Source organism: Homo sapiens, chromosome 15, assembly GCF_000001405.40.
Source record: "Homo sapiens chromosome 15, GRCh38.p14 Primary Assembly".
NCBI classification, from domain to species: Eukaryota; Metazoa; Chordata; class Mammalia; order Primates; family Hominidae; genus Homo; species Homo sapiens.
Window position 1 is genome coordinate 88,932,168 of NC_000015.10, and position 22,196 is coordinate 88,954,363.

Consider the following 22,196-nt stretch of genomic DNA (forward strand, 5'->3'; position numbering starts at 1 on the left):
AGGAATTTAAGCAAAAGGCATGTGTCAGGACAGTGAGAGGGATCATGGGGCCAAGTGACATTTTCTCTAAGGTGCGGGCTTACAAGTATGTGTCAACACTGCCTAACTCCATCGATTTGGAAAGGAGGGAAGAGGTTCTCCAGGCCAGCTCTTCCTCCTCCACTTTCCAGTATTCTCCAACACAGACATCACATGAGCTTGAGCAAAACAGGATGGCAGCCGCACACTCACACCCTCCAAATGCACACCCCCTATCCCAAACCAGATGCTCTGAGCATACATCACAATCAGAGCAAACATCCCAGTCCAGGGACCAAACAACCGCCTTTTGTTTCTAATCCAGAGGCTAAGGGCCAGAGGCCAGTGCTGGGGAATAAATATGCCTTCAGTTTAAAAATGTAAACGTGTTTTCTCACTGAAACCAAATGGGTGGGTCAAATTCTGAGGCTCCTTGATGTGATTTCCATAGTTCAGTTGGGTTTCTGTTGACTACTGTCCTCCACTGAATTCCTCTGGCCACTCCCTCCAGTCTGACTAGTTTCCTTCTTTGAAATCCTGCAGCCCTGACACTTGGAAGCAGCCAGTGGTCTCCTATTCACAGTTGGGTGGTGCCTTGGTATGTCTTCTCACCCAGTGTGTCTGCTGTTTGGAGACAGGCAGCTGGGTGTTGCACAGAAAGATTTAGAGCCTGAGATTTGGATTTGAGCCCCAGTTTCACATTTTATCTGGCTGATGACCTTTGCTGAGCTGTTGCTCAGACACATTTATTTCATTGATACAAGGTCATTTCCTCTCCTCTTTCCCAGATGATCAGTGGCATCTATTGGCCCAGAACAGTTCTAGGAGCCTGAATCTCCTGTGGATAAAGGAACACACTCAGGCCTGAGTTGGGTATTTAGTTGCAGAATAAGAAGGATGTGGAAGAAATACATTAGAAAGATTTATTTTTATAGGGCTCTGCTCAAAACCTTTCTAACTGGGCCAGCTGGACATCTGGACAACTCATCTCATGCCTGAGTCCACAGTAAGGCCATTTCCGGAAGAACATCAAGTTCTTTGTTGGAAATCAAACCCAAGAGCAAGAGCCCCAGAATGGGCAGGGTTGAGGGGTAGGCAGTGAACCACAAGTCCAGGAAGATTTGTTGCTGGCTAATCCCTACCCAACACCCAGCCTCTCCAATACCGCCCTCCTTCTTCATCCCTCAACTGGAAATGCCTCTCTTTAAGCCATGGGGGCCTTTTTTTTCTTTTTCTTTTTCTTTTTCTTTTCTTTTTTTTTTTTTTTTTGAGACAGAGTCTCACTCTGTCACCCAAGTTAGAGTGCAGTGGTGCAATCTTGGCTCACTGCAACCTCCACCTCCCAGGTTCAAGCAATTCTCCTGCCTCAGCCTCCCAAGTAGCTGGGATTACAGGCACCTGCCACCATGCCTGGCTAATTTTTGTATTTTTAGTAGAGATTTCACCATGTTGGCCAGTCTGATCTAGAATTCCTGTCCTAAGGTGATCCACCCCCCTCAGCCTCCCAAAGTGCTGGGATTACAGGCATGAGCCACCGTGGCTGGCCCTGCATGGGGGCCTTTTCAATGCAAAGATACCTGACCTGTTTAGGAGGTGAATGCCCTCTTTCTCCCACCCACTGTTCCCCTTTTCAAGCCAGCAGCCCAGGAGAACTTGTCAGACACTTATTTTCCCATTTTATCCAAGAAAAAGTCAACCATGTCAATGAACTGAGCAGCAGCTTAAAATTTCTGACTCCTTGCTCCAAACCTACTGCTCTATAGCTCTGGCCTCAAAGCCTTTTAGAACTCAACTCCTGAGTCCTAGCAGATGTCAAGAATGATGGAGTCGCCAAGTGAAAGAGTTGGTTGACCCAGCCTCTGCCACTTTTCAGATATACCACTGAGTCCAGTGGGGTCCCAGCTTGGCTGTATGGGACAACCCCCCCACCAAAGGGGGAAATTTAGACTTCATCTGCTGTCCATATCAGGGGAACCAGCCCCCAATAGGACAGAAAAGAACGTAGGTTCTTTTCTATTTTCCCTAAGTGTCAGCCAGTCTGAGAAATAAAGGGAAAGAGTACAAAAGACAGAAATTTTAAAGCTTGGTGTCCGGGGGAGATATCACATGTCAGCAGGTTCCATGATGCCCCCTGAGCTGCAAAACCAGCAAGTTTTTATTATGGATTTTAAAAGCGGAGGGGTGTACAAATAGGGTATGGGTCATAGAGATCACATGCTTCAAGGGCAATAAAATATCACAAGGCAAATGGGGGCAGAGTGAGATCACAGGACCAGAGTGAAATTAGAATTGCTGATGAAGTTTCATGTCCCACTGGGCACGCACTGTTATTGATAACATCTTATCAGGAGACAGGGTTTGAGAGCAGACAACCAGTCTAAAATTTACTAGGCAGGAATTTCCTCATCCTAATAAGCCTGGGGGCGCTACAAGAGACGGGGGCTTATTTCATCCCTTATCCACACCTGTATAAGACAGACACTTCTATAGCGGCCATTCTAAAGACTGCCCCCTAGGAATGCATTCTCTTTCTCAGGGCTGTTCTTTGCTGAGAAAAAGAATTCAGCAATATTTCTCCTGTTTGCTTTTGTAAGAAGAGAAATATGACTCTGTTCTGTCCAGCCCCTCAGGCAGTCAGGCCCAATGGTTATCTCCCTTGTTCCCTGAAAATCGCAGCCATCTTTTTCCTTTTGGAAGTCCAGATTTCATATTGTTCAAACACACATGCTCTACAAACAATTTGTGCAGATAACACAATCATCACAGGATCCTGAGGTGACATACATCCCCATTTTACGAAGATGATGGGATTAAGAGATTAAAGTAAAGACAGGCATAGGAAATTATAAGAGTATTGATTGGGGAAGTGATAAATGTCAATGAAATCTTTACAATTTATGTTCAGAGACTGCAGTAAAGACAGGAATAAGAAATTATAAAAGTATTAATTTGGGGAACTAATAAATGTCCATGAAATCTTCACAATTTATGTTCTTCTGCCATGGCTTCAGCCAGTCCCTCTGTTCAGGGTCCCTGACTTCCCGCAACAGTACAAATCCCTGGGCCACATGCTTGGCCATCAAACAATAGCCTCTCTACCTAACCCCTACTGTGTTCATTCATTCATTCATTCATTAAAAACATTTATTGAGCAACTACCAAGCCATGTGGGGTGGGGAATAACTTGGAACTCTAGAGTGTACATAAAGATTATTTTAAACCAAAGACACCTGAAATTCAACAGATGTAGAAAGAAGCCTCTCGTAGCTTCCTTTATGTGATTAAAAGCAGAAACTTCTGAGAAATGAAGACTGATGTAAAGTCCGTCTGGTGGCAGGTCTGCTCCCAGGAAAGAAATTAAGAGTAAATCCAGTCCGGGCATGGTGGCTCACGCCTGTAATCCTAGCACTTTGGGAGGTGAAGGCAGGCAGATTGCTTGAGCTCAGGAGTTTGAGACCAACATGGGCAACATGGTGAAACCCAGTCTCTACAAAAAGTATAAAAATTAGCTGGGTGCATGTTTGTAGTCCCAGCTACTTGGGAAGCTGATGAAGGAGGATCACTTGAATCCAGGAGATGGATGCTGCAGCAAGCCAAGATCACACCACTGCACTCCAGCCTGGGTGACAAAGTGAGACCCTGTTTCAAACAAAAAAAATTTTTTTAAAGAGTAAATGTACCATAAATCCCTTCTCTGGGAGAGTTTTATGATCTTGAAGAAGATAGAAGGCCCACTCATACATATATAGACAGACATTATCACACACTTTCTTATCTCCTATTTGTTCTCCTAAAAACTCCTTGTCTTTCCTAAAGAAACCTATTTGTTCCTCCTATAGGAGACTTTTCTCCCTCCTTTCTTACCTCTACTAAATGAGGTGTATAAGCCCCTGCTTCTGACCACCCCTTTGAGTTACTCATTACTGAGAATTTTCTGATGTATGTACATTGCAGGCATGAATAAACTCTTCTCTTGCTAATCTGTCTTTTGTTAGTTTAATGTGCATGTCCCCAGGTATTGAACATAAGAGGGTAGAGGAAAAGTTTTTTCTTCCCAACAGCATTTGTACTGAATCTTGTTTTACCCTCCAGTTCTCAACAGGGCCTGGACCCCCTAAGACCCTCATCTAGAACTGCCAACTTCTTTATCCTCAAACAACAAACCCTTCTCACAGGGTTGTTCAGGGTGTCCCAGTTCTTAGCCTTGTTCCCCTCCTGTCCTCACTCTCCAAGTGTACCCTAACCTTAGAAGAGGAACTGTCTGAGGCATGGGTCGTGAGCCAGGTTCATTTCCCAGTACACCCTCAAGTCTAAGTCTAGAATCTAGAATCTAGATTAATGCCTGGGGGGCTCCTGCCAGGGAGTGTGGTGGCCTTTGGCCACATGAGCTTTGGTGCATGAAGTCCAGACCCCTTCAAAATCTCACAAGCAAAGTGAGTTGCAGATCATTTTTCTGATAATCCAGCTTATATTTGCTGAATCAGACACCCACCTATTTCCAAAGGGCAAACTTTCCTTCTCAGAAATAGTACTGCTTAACCCTAAAAAGGAAAGGAAACCATTCGTAAGAGCCCTATAGTTTGTAAGGCAACCTCTCCAATCCTCAGCTAATACTTCACTCACCCTAGGGCTTGCCAGGAACAAGAAAGAGTCCCAGGTTGAGCCAAGACTTCTTAAAGGCTGCTGTCAGCTACACACACAAAGAAACGGCAGAGGCTTTGAAATTACCACTTATAAATGCACAATTGCATTCATGGGCTAGCGGGTGGGGGCTGGCTCTTCTTCTATGCCACTATCTGGAGGTGGAAAATAGGGGGAAGTTCATTCTTCCCTTGATCTTAGCATTTGGGCAGGTAAAGTTGAGGTGCTTACGCCATCTAGGCAGTTGAAAATAAAGCTCCAAGGAGTAGCCAGGAGTGGTGGCTCACACCTATAATCCCAGTACTTTGGGAGGCCTAGGCAGGCGGATCATGAAGTCAGGAGATCGAGACCATCCGGGCCAACATGGTGAAACCCAGTCTCTACTAAAAATACAAAAATTAGCTGGGCATGGTGGCGTGTGCCTGTAATCCCAGCTACTCAGGAGGCTGAGACAGGAGAATCCCTTGAACCAGGGAGTCAGAGATTGCAGTGAATTGATCCCTACAGATAGATGTGAAAACCATCAGCTGTAAAATGGCAGCCCATGCTATGGAAATGGGGGTGTTCCTATGGGGGCAGACACAAGGAGAAGGCAGAACCTGTTTTCCCCACTCAGCTCTGCGAGGATGTTCTCCCCTGTAAACCAAAAAGTATCTGAGATGGGTCTCAATTAATTTACAAGTTTATTTTTCCAAGATTAAGAACATGTCCTTAAATTGATTGAGACCTGTCTCAGATATTTTTCGGTTTACAAGTTGGCAACCAACAGAAGGGACTCTGAGTGGCAGTGGCCCGGATGTTTGACAAATCTCCTTTCAGTGCTTGGCACCAGCTTGGGCTATCTTGATTGCTCAAACCAATAGAACAATTCTCTAAGGCCTGGGACCTTCCCCCCTCCATAGAACCTCTGATCCAAATGTTGATTGAGATCTAAGATTTATTTTGGGCTGGGCGCGGTGGCTCACACCTGTAATCCCAACACTTTGGGAGGCCAAGGCGGGCCAAGAGGAGGTCAGGGGTTCAAGACCAGCCTGACCAACATGGTGAAACCCCGTCTCTACTAAAAATACAAAAACTAGCTTGGCGTAGTGGTGCACACTTGTAATCCCAGCTACTTGGGAGGCTGAGGCAGGAAAATCGCTTGAACCTGGGAACTGGAGGTTGCAGTGAGCTGAGATCACGCCACTGCACACCAGCCTGGACGACAGAGCAAGACTGTTGAAACAAATAGGTTATTTAAGAAAGACAAGGAGTTTTCAGGAGAACAAATAGGAGATAGGAAAATGTGTGATAACGTTTGTCTATATATGTATGAGTGGGCCTTCTGTCTTCTTCAAGACCATAAAACTCTCCCAGAGAAGGGATTTATGGCACATTTGCTGTATGTAAGATTCATTCTGCTGTATGCCTCTTCTGGAGTTTTACTTGCTTCCCAACAAGGAAGGTGAGTTTTCCTGCTTCCATGATAATGGAAGGCAGGCAACTCCTTTCTGGGAGTCTCAGCTCATTTCCAACAGGGAAGGCAAGTTTGAGTCTTCTCCTGCTTCTAGGATGGTAGCAGTTTTCAGCCTGGGCCCCATTCTTAGGTAAGTAGCTGAATTGGGGTTTTCTCTAGGAAATTCTTTTTTTTTTTCGAGATGGAGTCTCGCTGCTCTGTCGCCCAGGCTGGAGTGCAGTGGCGCAATCTCAGCTCACTGCAAGCTCCACTTCCCGGGTTCATGCCATTCTCCTGCCTCAGCCTCCCGAGTGGCTGGGACTACAGGCGCCTGACACTACGCCTGGCTAATTTTTTTGTATTTTTAATAGAGACGGGGTTTCACCGTGTTAGCCAGGATGGTCTCGATCTCCTGACCTCCTGATCCGCCCGTCTTGGCCTCCCAAAGTGCTGGCATTACAGGCGTGAGCCACCGGGCCCGGCCAGGAAATTCTTTTTAATGACTAAAAGTTAAGATTAACAGCCAGCTGGTCTTAATTTCTCCTTACCATTAGAGTGCTGAGTAATCATATGAACTGTGCAATTGTTTGTTTCTCTTAGCTTATTTTTGTTCATTTGTTTCTTTCTGTTTTTGTTTTTTTGTTTGTTTGTTTGTTTCTGCATGGCTCTTGTATCAGTTCGAACCTCGAGAGTCGCCAACAAACAACACAAGGCGGTGTAGAGCAACACAGTTTTAAGGCGCACCGCGTGGGGGCAGACAGGCTGAGGCCTAAAATGGCTCAGCACCTAAGGAGGATGGGGCAGAGATTTTATAGTCTCCTGTAAACAGGAAGTGTCTCAGTCTGATGTAACTGCTACGCCGTACCCGGACAGCCTTTCTCTCGGTCTTCAGGGGGTACCTGCCTTCCAGCCAGCTAGCTTGCTTCCTGCTTCTGTTATCTTGCTGACGCATGCCGCTGGCGCAAGTGGTCTTTACTTTGGGACTGGGCCTGAGAAGGGCAGAGTTATTCACCACCCTCCACCACCCCCAGCTTCCAGGCCCAGGGTAAAGTCAGTTTCCATCTTTTTCCCATTGGGTTTGACCAACTCTACCTGACTTGGTCAAATCCAAAGGAAAGTTCCAAATCATGGGAAACAAGGTCTCTGAATTTGCGAAATCCCTGCAGCTGAAAAAAAAAGAAACAGAAAAAAAGAAAGAGAGAGGGAGAGAGAGAAAGAAAGAATGAGAGAATGAAAGAACGAGAGAGAGAGAGAGAGAGAGAAGGGAAAGGGAAGGGGAAGATTTTGACTATCTGAGGAGTTTTATTTACATGACAAGGCCACCTTTTGCTAGCCAAGCCCAAACTGACAGAGCAATGGCAGCTGTCCGTGCTGTAGTTCTGTAGCTATGATTCTGCCTCTTGTTTTTTACATGGTGACAGCCTGGGTTTGGTTCCTAAGTCAAGTCCTTTCTAATTTGATATTTGTGTTACTTTCAAACTATCAGCAGTTTTTCCCAGCAAAAATATGATAATAGGAGATTTAAAAGGATTTTTTAAGAGCTCAATGGTTAAGTCAGCTTAACTAAAAGCTAATATCTAAGATATATATACACACACACATATAAGCATATATATATACACACACACTTTTTTCTCTCCTAGGTTCTTGATTTTTGAGAAAAAGGTTTTTTTCTTCTCAATCCACTGAATTCTGTTTTGTCCATTTACTTCTGCCTGTCTCTCCTTCCTCTTACCACCCTCTGCTGCATGAAGGACATAAATAGTTCCTAACAGCCTAGGATTCCTTTAAGAAAACAGAGAAGGCGCCAGGTTTCTTTTTGGGAGAAACCTCTGTTTTTCCTTATGGAACCCCAAGAGTGTAAACAGACAAGTTCCTCTCAGATCTGTAAACCAAAAGTATCTGAGACAGGTCTCAATCAGTTTAGAAGTTTATTTTGCCAAGGTTAAGGTCGAGCCTGTGACACAGCCTTAGGAGGTCTTGAACAACATGTGCCCAAGGTCATAGGGCTACAGCTTGGTTTTACACATTTCAGGAAGGCATAAGATATTAATCAATACATATAAGATGTACATTGGTTCAGTCCAGATTCAGAGAGAGTAGATCGTAAATGTTTCTTATCAGACTTAGAAAGTGTTATTATCAGACTGTTCTATCGGTCTTAAGGTCTGTGTTGATGTTAGTGCTGGTCAGCGGTGCCTGAATTGCAATGGTCAGAGGGTATAATAGGGCATGTCTGACTCCTGCTTCCCATCATGGGCTGAACTAGTTTTTCACTTTCATTTTGGAATGCCCTTGGCCAAGAGGAATGATCATTCAGTTGGGTGAGGAGCTTGGAACTTTATTTTTGGTTTACAGATCTTCAACTGCTTGTTCTTATGTTACCTGATCTTTTTTTTTTTTTTTTTTTACCAAAATCGTGATTACCCTGTACAGGGGTTACTCTTGCATATTTTAAGATAATAAGTGGTGTGGTTTTTTTTTTTTTTTTTTAATTTATTTTTTTATTGATAATTCTTGGGTGTTTCTCACAGAGGGGGATTTGGCAGGGTCATGGGACAATAGTGGAGGGAAGGTCAGCAGATAAACAAGTGAACAAAGGTCTCTGGTTTTCCTAGGCAGAGGACCCTGCGGCCTTCCGCAGTGTTTGTGTCCCTGATTACTTGAGATTAGGGATTGGTGATGACTCTTAACGAGCATGCTGCCTTCAAGCATCTGTTTAACAAAGCACATCTTGCACCGCCCTTAATCCATTTAACCCTGAGTGGACACAGCACATGTTTCAGAGAGCACAGGGTTGGGGGTAAGGTCACAGATCAACAGGATCCCAAGGCAGAGGAATTTTTCTTAGTGCAGAACAAAATGAAAAGTCTCCCATGTCTACTTCTTTCTACACAGACACGGCAACCATCCGATTTCTCAATCTTTTCCCCACCTTTCCCGCCTTTCTATTCCACAAAGCCGCCATTGTCATCCTGGCCCGTTCTCAATGAGCTGTTGGGCACACCTCCCAGACGGGGTGGTGGCCGGGCAGAGGGGCTCCTCACTTCCCAGTAGGGGCGGCCGGGCAGAGGCGCCCCTCACCTCCCGGACGGGGCGGCTGGCCGGGCAGGGGGGCTGACCCCCCCCCACCTCCCTCCCGGACGGGGCAGCTGGCCGGGCGGGGGGCTGACCCCCCCACCTCCCTCCCGGACGGGGCGGCTGGCCGGGCAGAGGGGCTCCTCACTTCTCAGTAGGGGCGGCCGGGCAGAGGCGCCCCTCACCTCCCGGACGGGGCGGCTGGCCGGGCGGGGGGGCTGACCCCCCCCACCTCCCTCCCGGATGGGGCGGCTGGCCGGGCAGGGGGCTGACACCCCCACCTCCCTCCCGGACGGGGCGGCTGGCCGGGCAGAGGGGCTCCTCACTTCCCAGTAGGGGCGGCCGGGCAGAGGCGCCCCTCACCTCCCGGACGGGGCGGCTGGCCGGGCGGGGGGGCTGACCCCCCCCCACCTCCCTCCCGGACGGGGCGGCTGGCCGGGCGGGGGGCTGACCCCCCCACCTCCCTCCCGGACGGCACGGCTGGCCAGGCGGGGAGCTGACCCCCCCCACCTCCCTCCCGGATGGCACGGCTGGCCGGGCGGGGGGGCTGACCCCCCACACTCCCTCCCGGATGGGGCGGCTGCCGGGCGGAGACGCTCCTCACTTCCCAGATGGGGTGGCTGCCGGGCGGAGAGGCTCCTCACTTCTCAGACGGGGCAGCTGCCGGGCGGAGGGGCTCCTCACTTCTCAGACGGGGCAGCTGCCGGGCAGAGGCGCTCCTCACATCCCAGATGGGGCGGCGGGCAGAGGCGCTCCCCACATCTCAGACGATGGGCGGCCAGGCAGAGACGCTCCTCACTTCCTAGATGTGATGGCGGCTGGGAAGAGGCGCTCCTCACTTCCTAGATGGGATGGCGGCCGGGTGGAGACGCTCCTCACTTTCCAGACTGGGCAGCCAGGCAGAGGGGCTCCTCACATCCCAGACGATGGGCGGCCAGGCAGAGACACTCCTCACTTCCCAGACGGGGTGGCGGCCGGGCAGAGGCTGCAATCTCGGCACTTTGGGAGGCCAAGGCAGGCGGCTGGGAGGTGTAGGTTGTAGTGAGCCGAGATCACGCCACTGCACTCCAGCCTGGGCACCATTGAGCACTGAGTGAACGAGACTCCGTCTGCAATCCCGGCACCTCGGGAGGCCGAGGTTGGCGGATCACTCGCGGTTAGGGGCTGGAGACCGGCCCGGCCAACACAGCGAAACCCGGTCTCCACCAAAACCAGTCAGGCGTGGCGGCGCGTGCCTGCAATCGCAGGCACTCGGCAGGCTGAGGCAGGAGAATCAGGCAGGGAGGTTGCAGTGAGCCGAGATGGCAGCAGTACAGTCCAGCTTCGGCTCCGCATGAGAGGGAGACCGTGGGGAGAGGGAGAGGGAGACGGAGCGGGAGAGGGAGAGCGAGAGGGAGAGGGAGAGCTGCATTCCTTTTCTTAAAGTTCTTAAGTGATATACTCAAGATGGAGTACTCTGTAATGATCTGGCCCCAACTGACATTTTCCAGCTCACCTTCTGACCCTTCTGGACATGCCCTGACCAAGTTACCTCAATGTTGTGTTCCTGATACAATATCATGTCATTATCTTCCATACTTTTGTCTCTTTGCATATGTAATTCCTTTTGCATAGAATGTGTTTCCCTTGTCAGCCTGGCTGGCTTAAGACAATTGAGATCTAGGAAATTTGCCATAACTTCCTTCGGCAGGTTTGAGGTAGTTTTCTCTTATTTTCCCATACTGGCCAATCTATAGAAATTATGATAATAATGTATTACATGTATACTATACGCTAGTCCCTCTGAGGCTAATTATTAGTCTATGTAGATTGGCATCTCAGTAAAGAAATTGAGCTGAAGAGAGGTTAAGTGACTTCCTGAAGTCTTCATGGTTAATCCCTTTCCAGTGTCAGGTATCAAACCTAGGTCTCATGGCCCAATGGTGCGATCTCGGCTCACCTCAACCTCCGCCTCCCTGGTTCAAGCAATTCTCCTCAGTGGTGTGGTTTAAACACTTAGAGAAATATCTTTGTAACAGTGCACCGTTAAGCACATTACATGGCCTAGTCCCATGATGTCACTCTGTTTGGAGAACTAGGATTCAGTGTGGGCTCCACCCAGAGCTCAGAGGTCCAGTTAAAAGATAGAGAGTAAATTTAAAACTACCTATCTAAACAAAATTTGTCTCCTTATCAAATCCTATGGTATTTTTCTATCATTTTATGTTTGGCTTGGTATCCGTTTTTAATCTCCTGCTAACACACCTAGACTTCGTCTGTACTTTGAGATGTAAATTTCACTCTCTGATTTTCACTTAGAGTTGTTCCTTTGGTATGCAAATTTAGAGCTATCTAGCTGACAATTGCCTAGGGAAATGACACGGATTATCAAGAAATTAGAACTCTAAAATAGGAGACTGAAAAGGGGAGTCTTATGAATCTATGAGCTTCTATCTGCATGTCTAATAAGTCCATGTATTTATGTGTCATGTATATGATGTTTCACTACCAAAAATATATAAAAGAGCTCTAATTAATTGACTTTTTTAAAAAAGCTCTTAAATACTTTATCAGGGCCAGGCATGGTGGCTCACACCTGTAATCCCAGTACTTTGGGAGGCCAAGGTGGGTGGATCACCTGAGGTCAGGAGCTCAAGACCAGCCTGACCAATACGGAGAAACCCCATCTCTACTAAAAATGCAAAAAATTGGCCGGGTGTGGTGGCGTATGCCTGTAATCCCAGCTACTCGGGAGGCTGAGGTAGGAGAATTGCTTGAACCTGGGAGGCGGAGGTTGCAGTGAGTCAAGATCGTGCCATTGCACTCCAGCCTGGGCAACAAGAGCAAAACTCTGTCTCAAAAAAAAAAAGAAAAAAAAAAAACTTTATCAGAAAAATAGGAACTTTAAGCCCAAATGCTTTCTCAAGTTCATGTGACTTAAGTAAATCCTTAATAAGCTGGTTTTAATTGATAAAATTAGAAATGTCTTCAGAATTCTTAACATACATTATTGTTTAGATTCGTTGGTCAAGTGGTTTCATATTTATCTCTCCTAAATATTATAAGGTGTCAGTCAGACATGGTGGCTCATGCCTGTAATCCCAGCACTTTGGGAGGCTGAGGTGGGCAGATCACCTGAGGTCAGGAGTTTGAGACCAGCCTGACCAACATGACCAAACGCCATCTCTACTAAAAATACAAAAATTAGTTGGGAGTGGTGACACGTGCCTGTAATCCCAGCTACTTGGGAGGCTGAGGCAGGAGAATCGCTTGAACCTGGGAGGCGGAGGTTGCAGTGAGCTGAGATCACACCATTGCACTCTAGCCTGGGCAACGAGAGTGAAACTCTGTCTCAAAAAAAAAAAAAAAAAAATATATATATATATATATTTGGCATGAGGGTTACTATCTTTGTGTAAATTTGTATAACTAAGGCATTTAATTAAATTGTTGGTTTGATGGAAACAGCTAAATCCTGAGTTATTGGCCAAAAAAAAAAAAACAAAAAACATTTATTTAAATTTAATGTTCTTACTTAGGTAAACACTTGAACTTCACAGGCTATAAAAATGGTTAACAAGGAAATAATACTAAATGATAACTATCACAGTCTTCCTCTCTTTCCTTTCTTTTCTTTTTTTTTTTTTTTTTTTTTTTTGAAACAGGGTCTCCCTCTGTTGCCCAGGTTGGGGTGCAGTGGCATGATCACAACTCACTGCAGCCTCGACCTCCCAAGTTCAAGCAATCCTCCCACCTCAGCCTCCCAAGTAGCTGGGACCACAGGCTCACACCACCATATTGGCTAATTTTTTTTTTTTTTTTTTGTAGAGGCTGGGTCTCACCATGCTGCCCAGACTGGTCTTAAACTTCTAAGCTCAAGCAATCCTCCTACCTCAGCCTCCCAAAGTGCTGAGATCCTCCTACCTCAGCCTCCCAAAGTGCTGAGATCCTCCTACCTCTGCCTCCCAAAGTGCTGAGATCCTCCTACCTCTGCCTCCCAAAGTGCTCGGGCTCCCACAGTGAGTCACTGTGCTCAGTCCCTATACTTTAAATCATCACTAGATTGCTTATAATACCTAATACAATGTAAGTGCTATATAAATACTTGTTACACTGTATTTTTAAATTTGTATTATTTTTTATTGTTGTATTTTTTTCCACAAATATTTTCAATCCACAGCTGGTTGAATACAAGGATGTAGAACTTGTGGATACAAAGGGCCGACTGTAGTTGTAACTTGCACCAGCCCAGGTATATAAAAGGAGTTAAAATTTGTTTTGTTCCCATATCCTTTCTTGTTCCCCAAGACCATTAGTTCCTCAAGAGAAATTACAGTCTCTTCCTTCTTTGTGATTACAGTGCCTGGCTTACAGTAGGTGCTCAATAAATGTTACAGACGCATCATGTTCTCAAGCTCTTGCTGAACCTAGACCCAGCCTCCCTTTCAAAGAAGACTGTTCTGCCAGGTACTTCACTCAGTGTCCTACTTCTTTGCTCAAGTCCCTGGGCCCTTGGACCTCCTGAATTTCCACCACTACTGCAGGGATCAGATCTTTCAATTCTCTAGTTTTCTTCCACTGATGAAACTTTTGGTTCCAGTCTTTAAGTCTGCTAGCAAAAGACAAAACAAACGTACAAACAAAAAACCAGCAATAGACAGGTTAACAGGAAAAAAAGCATACAAATTTATTTGCATGGGAATGGGAAGCAGGGTGTAGGGGCAAAGGGAAAACTTACCCTTCACCCTCTGAAGATTCAGTGAAAAATCACCTGACAAATGGTGGATGAATAGGAGAAAAGGCACCCAAATTTATTTGATCTTAGTTTTATGTGACATGAGAACCTTCAGAAAGAAGGCCTAAGGATATAGGAAAACTGTCCATTTTTATGCTTAGGTTCCGCATGGTATGGACAGTCATTCAGAAACGTGATTGGTCAAAAGGGTACGATGTAGCGCTAATAGACTGAGCAGGGAAACCCAGCAAGCCCTCTCTGTGTAAATTCTTCTTAGCGCCTCTGTGCAGCATTCCTTCCTTCTGGGTATGGGGCAAGACCCCCTCTGGAATAGAGGTCTTATGATCTACAAGATAGGTCAGATAAGATAGATCAATTTCTGCTGGGCATGGTGGCTCACACCTCTAATCCCATCACTTTGGGAGGATGAGGCAGGCGGATCACCTGAGGTCAGGAGTTTGAGACCAGCCTAACCAACATGGAGAAACCTTGTCTCTACTAAAAATACAAAAAATTAGCCAGGCATGATGGTGCATGCCTGTAATCCCAGCTACTCGGCAGGCTGAGGCAAGAGAATCACTTGAACCATCTGAAAAAAAAAAAAAAAAAAGGCCGGGCGCAGTGGCTCACGCCTGTAATCCCAGCACTTTGGGAGGCCGAGGCGGGCAGATCACAAGGTCAGGAGTTCGAGACCAGCCTGGCCAATATGATGAAACCCCATCTCTACTAAAAATACAAAAAATTAACCAGGCATGGTGGTGGGCGTCTATAGTCCCAGCTACTCAGGAGGCTGAGGCAGGAGAATCACTTGAACCCAAGAAACAGAGGTTGCAGTGAGCCGAGATCACACCGTTGCACTCTAGCCTAGGCAACAGAGAGAGACTCCATCTCAAAAAAAAAAAAAAAAAAAAAAAAGGTCAATTTCTTTACAGCCAGTTCTTACACAGACAGAAAGGCTGGGGTGGTGGAGGAGTTAGTAATATTTTGGGTTTTATGGCTGGCATTGGGGAAAAGGGGTCCGGTTTTCATGACCTCCCTTGGGAAGAGGGATTCTAGTTTCTATGGCTAGCCTCTAGAGAAAATGAGAGTCTAGAAACAGGAGATTAGAAGGTCAGAGAGAGCTGCCTCTGAGGCCTTCTTCTTGGGCTATTGTTTTATGACCCCCAACAGAGGCATCACAGAAAAGCGAATACCCAGTAACCCAATGACATTCTCTAATCATTACTGTTTAAGGAATGGGACATGTTTGAGAAATGCACCATTAGGCAATTTCATCATTGTGAGAACATCATAGAGTGCCCTTACACAAACCTCGATGGCATAGCCTACCACACACCTAGGCTATAGGTATAGCCTATTACTCCTAGGCTATAAACTTTACTGTATGTTACTGCACTGACTACTGTAGGCAACTGTAACACAATGGTGAATATTTGCATATCTAAACATGTCTAACTGTAGAAAATATGTTACACTATGACATTACCAAGGCTAGGTGTCACTAGGCGATAGAAATTTTTCAGCTCAGCCAGGCCTATGGCCTCACACCTGTAATCCCAGCACTCTGGGAGGCCAAGATGAGAGGATCACTTGAGGCCAGGAGTTTAATACCAGCTTGGGCAACATAGTGAGACCCCTGTCTCTACAAAAAAATTTAAAAAATTAGCCCAGTATGATGGCATGCACCTATAGTCCCAGTTACTCAGAGGCTGAGGCAGAAGGATTGGTTAAGCCTAGGAGGTCCAGGCTGCAGTGGGCCATGAATCAGGCCACTGCACTGCAACCTGGGCAAGAGTGAGACCCTGTCTCAAAAAAAGAAAAAAAAAAATTGGCTCCATTTTATTCTCATGGGGCCACCATTTTACGTGTGGTCTGTCATTGACTGAAACATCCCTACCCATCACATGACTGTATATCCTTCTTCATGGGGGTGAGGGAAGTGGGATATATAGGCCAACATACAAATGGTTATGAAAGAAAAAAAGAAGATGAGACTTCAGAAGAATAGGTAATAGACTGTCTGGATGAAATGTCAACTTTAATCTCTCCTAGGTTTGAGTCCTCATGTTAATCTTCCTGATAGATACAAATTTCTAGGGAGGGTTTTCATGACAATTGGCTTCCTTCTGGAGAATCTACCTTTACTCAGATAAGGGAAATTCAGGAAAAGCCCCTCTGTGTATCCATTGTTTTCCCAGAAGCCTTCAGTTTGAAGCAATCAGCATACCAATGTGGCATTTTGGGGGGTGATATCTCCTGGGTTCATTCAAAATATTAGCAACATGCTTGGCAGCTTAACTCCCTCATTGCAATACTCAAGAAGGTACTGCGGATCTTATTCCTTACCTGGAACAAAATCTTCTTAGTCAATGAGCAATTTCATAGGGTGGTGCAAAATATTACTTTTTATTTTTCCCATAAGGGTAGGCTTGCATAGAGATCCAGGCATCCCTTTTTCTCTCTGGTATTCCTCCCTTTCCCTTTTTTGTCCTCTCTGCCCTCCCTGCAAGCCTGGTGCCACCCTGACAGCTGCCACGTGTGGTCCTGGAACCTTGTTCCTGGTTCCATCCTAGAGGAGTGGGCAGAGATGGGGACTCACCTACTCTAGGGGGCTTGGGTCTTTCAGATTCACCAAGGTGAGAATCTGCAGGCAGACAAACCTTTTTTCTTTTTCCTTTTTTTTTTTTTTTTTTTTTTTTTGAGATGGAGTCTCTCTCTGTTGCCAGGCTGGCACGATCCCGGCTCACTGCAACCTCTGACTCCCTGGTTCAAGTGATTCTCCTGCCTCAGCCTCCCGAGTAGCTAGGATTACAGGTATATGCCACCACGTCCAGCTAATTTTTTTTATTTTTTAGTAGAGCCGGGGTTTCACCATGTTGGCCAGGATGGTCTCGATCTCCTGACCTCGTGATCCGCCCGCCTCAGCCCCCGAAAGTACTGGGATTACAGGCGTGAGCCACAGCGCCAGGCCAAACCTTTTTTCATGACCTCTCCTAACCTGACTTTGCCTCATTATCATGCTAAAAATTTCTTTTCTACTAGGGTGGGAGGGGAAAGAACAAAAGTAGGGTGTCCTACACCAGACAGATCCCTCTAATTATTTACAAGCCTCAGTTGATTCATACTTGCAAAATGGCTCTGGAAAATTTCAAATGGTTTATTAAATTTTCCATCCTCATACTGAGCATGTCCTACCTGGCAAGCCTGTGTTGGATGCCAACGGAACATGAAGGTGACCAGGAGAAGCTCTAAGTCCCATGGGGAAACAAGCTCATCCAGGACTAACAAAGCACAAGTGCCCAGTGCCCATCTCAACAAAACCACAGTGGCTCTCAGAGACAGGTCAGACTGCTTGAATCACACACAGCACACTCTGAATGTCTCTCCGTAAGGCCTTCTGGCTGCAGGTTTAATGCCTTTCAGCTGCCAGGGATGTCAGCCGAACTCTCAAAACCCCATGCCAGAGAAAACTCTATTTTCTCCATGAAGAAGCACGTGGATGCCCACTTGCTGCCTGAACTCCCTGAAGGATGTGTTTGGAAGGGAGGATCGGGAGGGTCTCCCAACACCCTCCCCCTTCTGAGTTAGCACCGAACCTTGGTTCCTGCATTCCTGGGGTGACAGTCCCCTGCTTGCTTTCCAGTACCTCCCAGAGAACTCCTGCACAATTGCTGTCCTGAACTTCCCCGGGGGGACCCATAGCCTTCTTCTTACCCTCTGCAAGTATTATGACCATTTTCCCCTATGCTGCGACTGGGGCTCAAAAGATGCTCCTCCAAATTGGAGGCCTCAAGGGCAGCCTCAGAAGCAAAAGTTTCGATCTCATCTTCTCCTGCCTCTTGTTTCTGGCCCCCAAGGCTAGCCACAGAAACTAGAGTCTCTCTTCCCTAAAGCAGGTCTTAGAAACCAAACCCCTTTTCCCCAAAGCCAGCCATCAAACCCCAAAATATTACTCTAACTTCCTCCCTTTTTCTGTGTAAAACATGGCTGTAAAGAAATCATCTGACCAGGCCAGGTGCAGTGGCTCATGCCTATAATCCCAGCACTTAGTCAGGAGGAGGCAGGTGGATGGCTTGAGCCCAGCGGTTCCAGATGAGCCTAGGCAACATGGTGAAACCTCCTCTCTACAGAAAACTTAAAAATTAGCCAGGTGCAGTGGTGCATGCTCTGTGGTCCCAGCCACTGGGTATGCTGGGGCGGAAGGATCACCTGGGTCTGGGAGGTCAAAGCTGCAGTGAGCCAGGATCACACCACTGCACTACAGGCTGGGCAACAGAATGACCCTGTCTTAAAAAAAAAAAGAAAAGAAATTATCTAACCTACTTTGTTTGATAGTAGGTCACAAGATCCCCGTTCCAGAGAGGGTCTTGCCCCATACCCAGAAGGAAGGAATGCTGCGTAGAGAGGCCAAGAAGAAAATATACAGACAGGACTTGCTGCATTTCCCCACTCAACCTATTAGCATTAGAGTTTTGTCCAATCATAGTTCTGCACAACCACTCATACTTTTCTGAACCTAAGCATAAAAATAGACAGCTTCCCCTGTATCTTTGGGGTCTTGATTCTGAAGGTTCCTCTGTCACATAAAATTGTGATCAAATAAGTTTGTATGCTTTTTGGCCTGTTAGTCTGCCTTTTGTCAGTGATTCTCAGTGGACCTTCAGATGGCAAAGAGAATGTTTTTCTCTTGGCCCCTGCACCACTGGGAAAGGCTGCAGGCTGCATTGCCTCTACAAGGCTGCCATCTGCAGCTGCTTCAAGTGGGCTGTGACCTACGTTGGGGCACTCCATTCTCGGGGTACCGGACCGGACCTACATCCAGAACACTGATGTCTCTCCTTGCCATCCCCCACAGGACAGGCCCATGCTGAAGATGCCCTGGGCCATGTCCCCCTGGTACCACATTTGGGGGCCGACGTCCCAGTGTCAGAGGCATTTGAACCAGAGCAACTCCATCTTGAATAGGAGCTGGGTAAAATGAGACTGAAACCTACTGGGCTGCATTCCAGACAGTTACACATCCTAAGTTGCAGGGTGAGATAGGAGATTGGTACAAGATACAGGTCATAAAGATCTTGCTGATAAAACAGGTTGCAGTAAAGAAACCGGCCAAAATCCCCCAAAACCAAGATAGCCACAAGAGTGACCTCTGGTCGTCCTCATGGCTACACTCCCGCCAGCGCCACGACACTTTACAAATGCCATGGCAACGTCAGGAAGTTACCCTATATGGTCTAAAAAGGGGATGCATGAATAGTCCACCCCTTGTTTAGCATATATAATCAAGAAATAACCACAAAAATGGGCAACCAGTAGCCCTCAGGGCTGCTCTGCCTCTGGAATAGCCATTCTTTATTCCTTCACTCCTTTATAAACTTGCTTTCAGTCTACAGACATGCCTGAATTCTTTCTTGGGTTAGATCCAAGAACCCTCTCTTGAAGTTTGGATCAGGACCTCTTTCTGGTAACACTTGGGTTGAGTGTGGACCCCAGCCAACACAAAGCTCTCTCCTCTCCCCACCTGCCACCAACAGGCCCCTCTATTTTTGCTCTTCCGGCAAAGTTTCTCCCAGCAGAGGCTGGGCTACAGCCTGCTCCTCTCCCGGCTTCATCATGTAGCAGGATGAGCTGCAGACAAGAATCCCTCAGACACTGAGGTGTAGAAGGAAAGGGCTTTATTCAGCTGGGAGCACTGGCAGACTCATGTCTCCAAAAACCGAGCTCCCCAAGTGAGCAATTCCTGTCCCGTTTAAGGGCTTACAACTCTAAGGAGGTCCCCGTGAAAGGGTCATGATTGATTGAGCAAGCAGGGGATCCGTGACTGGGGGCTGCATGCACCGGTAATCAGAATGGAACAGAACAGGACAGGGATTTTCATGATGCCTTTCCATACAATGTCTGAAATCTACAGATAACACAAGCAGTTAGGTCAGGGGTTGATTTTTCTTTTTTTTTTTTTTTTTTTTTTTTGGGATGGAGTTTTGCTCTTGTGCCCAGGCTGGAGTGCAGTGGCGCAATCTCGGCTCACCACAACCTCCGCCTCCCGGATTCAAGCGATTCTCCTGCCTCAGCCTCCTGAGTAGCTGGGATTACGGGCATATGCCACCACACCTGGCCAATTTTTTGCATTTTTAGTAGAGACGGGATATCTCCATATTGGTCAGGCTGGTCTTCAACTCCCAACCTCAGGTGATCCGCCCACCTCAGCCTCCCAAAGTGCTGGGATTATAGGCGTGAGCCACCACGCCCAGCCAAGTCAGGGGTTGATTTTTAACTACCAGGCCCAGGGCGCAGTGCTGGGCTATCTGCCTGTAGATTCCATTTCTGCCTTTTAGTTTTTACTTCTTCTTTCTTTGGAGGCAGAAATTGGGCATAAGACAATATGAGGGGTGGTCTCCTCCCTTAATCCTCCTCACCTTCATCAAATCTTTTTATTGTGAGCATTGAGGCAGCCCAGCTCCTCCACGGCCGGCAACACTGGGCATACGCCCTCCCCACTGCCAAAGAGGAAGAGGAAGATCAGCTCCACAGACGCTGCTGCCAAGGAAGAGCCCAGGAGGAGGTTGGCACGGTTGTCAACTAACCTGCTCTTGCAAAAGTGGAAACAAAGCTGAAACAGGCAGCAGAGAAGGATAAATCTTCGGACAAAAAAGTGCAAACAAAAAGGGAAAGGGGGGCAAAGGGAAAACAGGCTAAGTGGCTAACTAGGAAACTAAAGAAGATTTACCTGCAGAAAACGGAGAAACTAAAATCAGCCTCTGATGAAGCTGGAGAGAAGGAAGCCAAGTCTGATTAAATCACATACCATGTTTTATCAGTGGTCCCCATCTCCCTTTTTGTACAATCGAGTATATATTTTCATCAACTATTTTGTAAATGCAAGTTTACAAAATAATAGTGTTTTTTTTTTTTTTTTTTTTTTTTGAGACAGGGTCTGGCTCTGATGCCCAGGCTGGAGTGCAGTGGTGCCATTTCAGCTCACTGCACTCTGCCTCCCAGGCTCAAGCCATCCTCCCACCTAAGCCTCCTGAGTAGCTGGGACCACAGGTGCATGCCACCATGCTTGGCTCCTTTTTTGCATTTTTTGTAGAGACAGGGTCTCACTTTGTTGCCCAGGCTGGTCTCGAACTCCTGAGCTCAAGAGATATGCCTGCCTTGGTGTCTCAAAGTGCTGGAATTACAGGTGTGAGCCACGATGGCCGGCCTAGAAACATTTTTAAGAAGGAGGGAATCACATCTAATCTCATTTTTTAAGTGTAAATGCTTATTTTAAAAAGGTGAAACCATTTGCTGCTTGTTTGTTTTTTGGTACAACCAGAAAATAGTGTGGGCTATTGAATTCTGGGAGGCTTTGACTGTCTTGGGTGTCAGCTTAACATTCCATAGATGGAGGGTTAGTGTTTATATCCTATAATAGAAAGCATACTAAATGGCAATATGGAGTCACAGTCCTGCATTTAATGTCCTGGGCATTTTAAATTACTTCTATTCCCATGTTGTTGTTAATTTTTTTTTTTTTTTTTTTTTTGATGGAGTCTCGCTCTGTCACCCAGGCTGGAGTGTAGTGGCGTGATCTCGGCTCACTGCAACCTCTGCCTCCCGGGTTCAAGCGATTCTCCTGCCTCAGCTTCCCAAGTAGCTGGGATTACAGGCATCTGCCATCATGCCCAGCTAATTTTTTGCATTTTTGTAGAGACAGGGTTTCACCATGTTGACCAGGCTGGTCTCGAACTTCTGACCTCAGGTGATCTGCCCTCCTTGGCCTCCCAAAGTGCTAGGATTATAGGCGTGAGACACCACGCCGGGCCTACTCATATTGATTTTTAGCAGAATTGTTTCCTAAAGAAATCCACTTGATCACGGCCGTCCCTGTGAGAATTGTGTGCACTCTGTAACATCCTTGGTCGTGGTAGTCTTGTTTTCCTAGTAACTTTGTTAACGTGCTGTGAAAGATTGAAAATTTGAGTATGTGGTGTATTTGCTGTTCAGTTGTGTATTGGTGGGATGTTTGTAACAGCTTATCCACATGTGAAAATACTGGTACTTGATAGCCTCTTAAGGAAAATTTACCTCCAAATTTTAAGCTGGAAAGTCACTGGAATAACTTTTAAAAAGAATTACAATACATGGCTTTTTAGATTTTCAGTACATATGATAAGAACTGTGTGCAAACTGAAATGTCTGTGTATTGAGCCTCAACACAACCAATAAAATCTCAATTATGGAAGAGTGTTTTGAAGCACATGGAAAAAAACAAACAAACAAATCTCCTTGTTGTGACCATTTCACACTTGGGAGGATGAGGCACAG

At 46.6% G+C, this 22,196-nt stretch overlaps 1 pseudogene, besides 2 other annotated features; it reads left to right on the forward strand.

Annotated features, from left to right (window-relative positions):
* The first annotated feature begins 17,018 nt into the window (after positions 1-17,018).
* On the forward strand, positions 17,019-20,682 carry LOC124903572 (non-histone chromosomal protein HMG-14-like; annotated as a pseudogene).
* Positions 17,855-17,944: an enhancer, noted in NCBI's record as "active region_10037". NCBI's record gives its function as "activates an Ori minimal core promoter by ATAC-STARR-seq in GM12878 lymphoblastoid cells {active_cell/tissue: GM12878}" and the evidence as "EXISTENCE:reporter gene assay evidence [ECO:0000049][PMID:35858748]".
* Positions 17,955-18,014: an enhancer, noted in NCBI's record as "active region_10038". NCBI's record gives its function as "activates an Ori minimal core promoter by ATAC-STARR-seq in GM12878 lymphoblastoid cells {active_cell/tissue: GM12878}" and the evidence as "EXISTENCE:reporter gene assay evidence [ECO:0000049][PMID:35858748]".
* Positions 20,683-22,196: the final 1,514 nt, after the last annotated feature.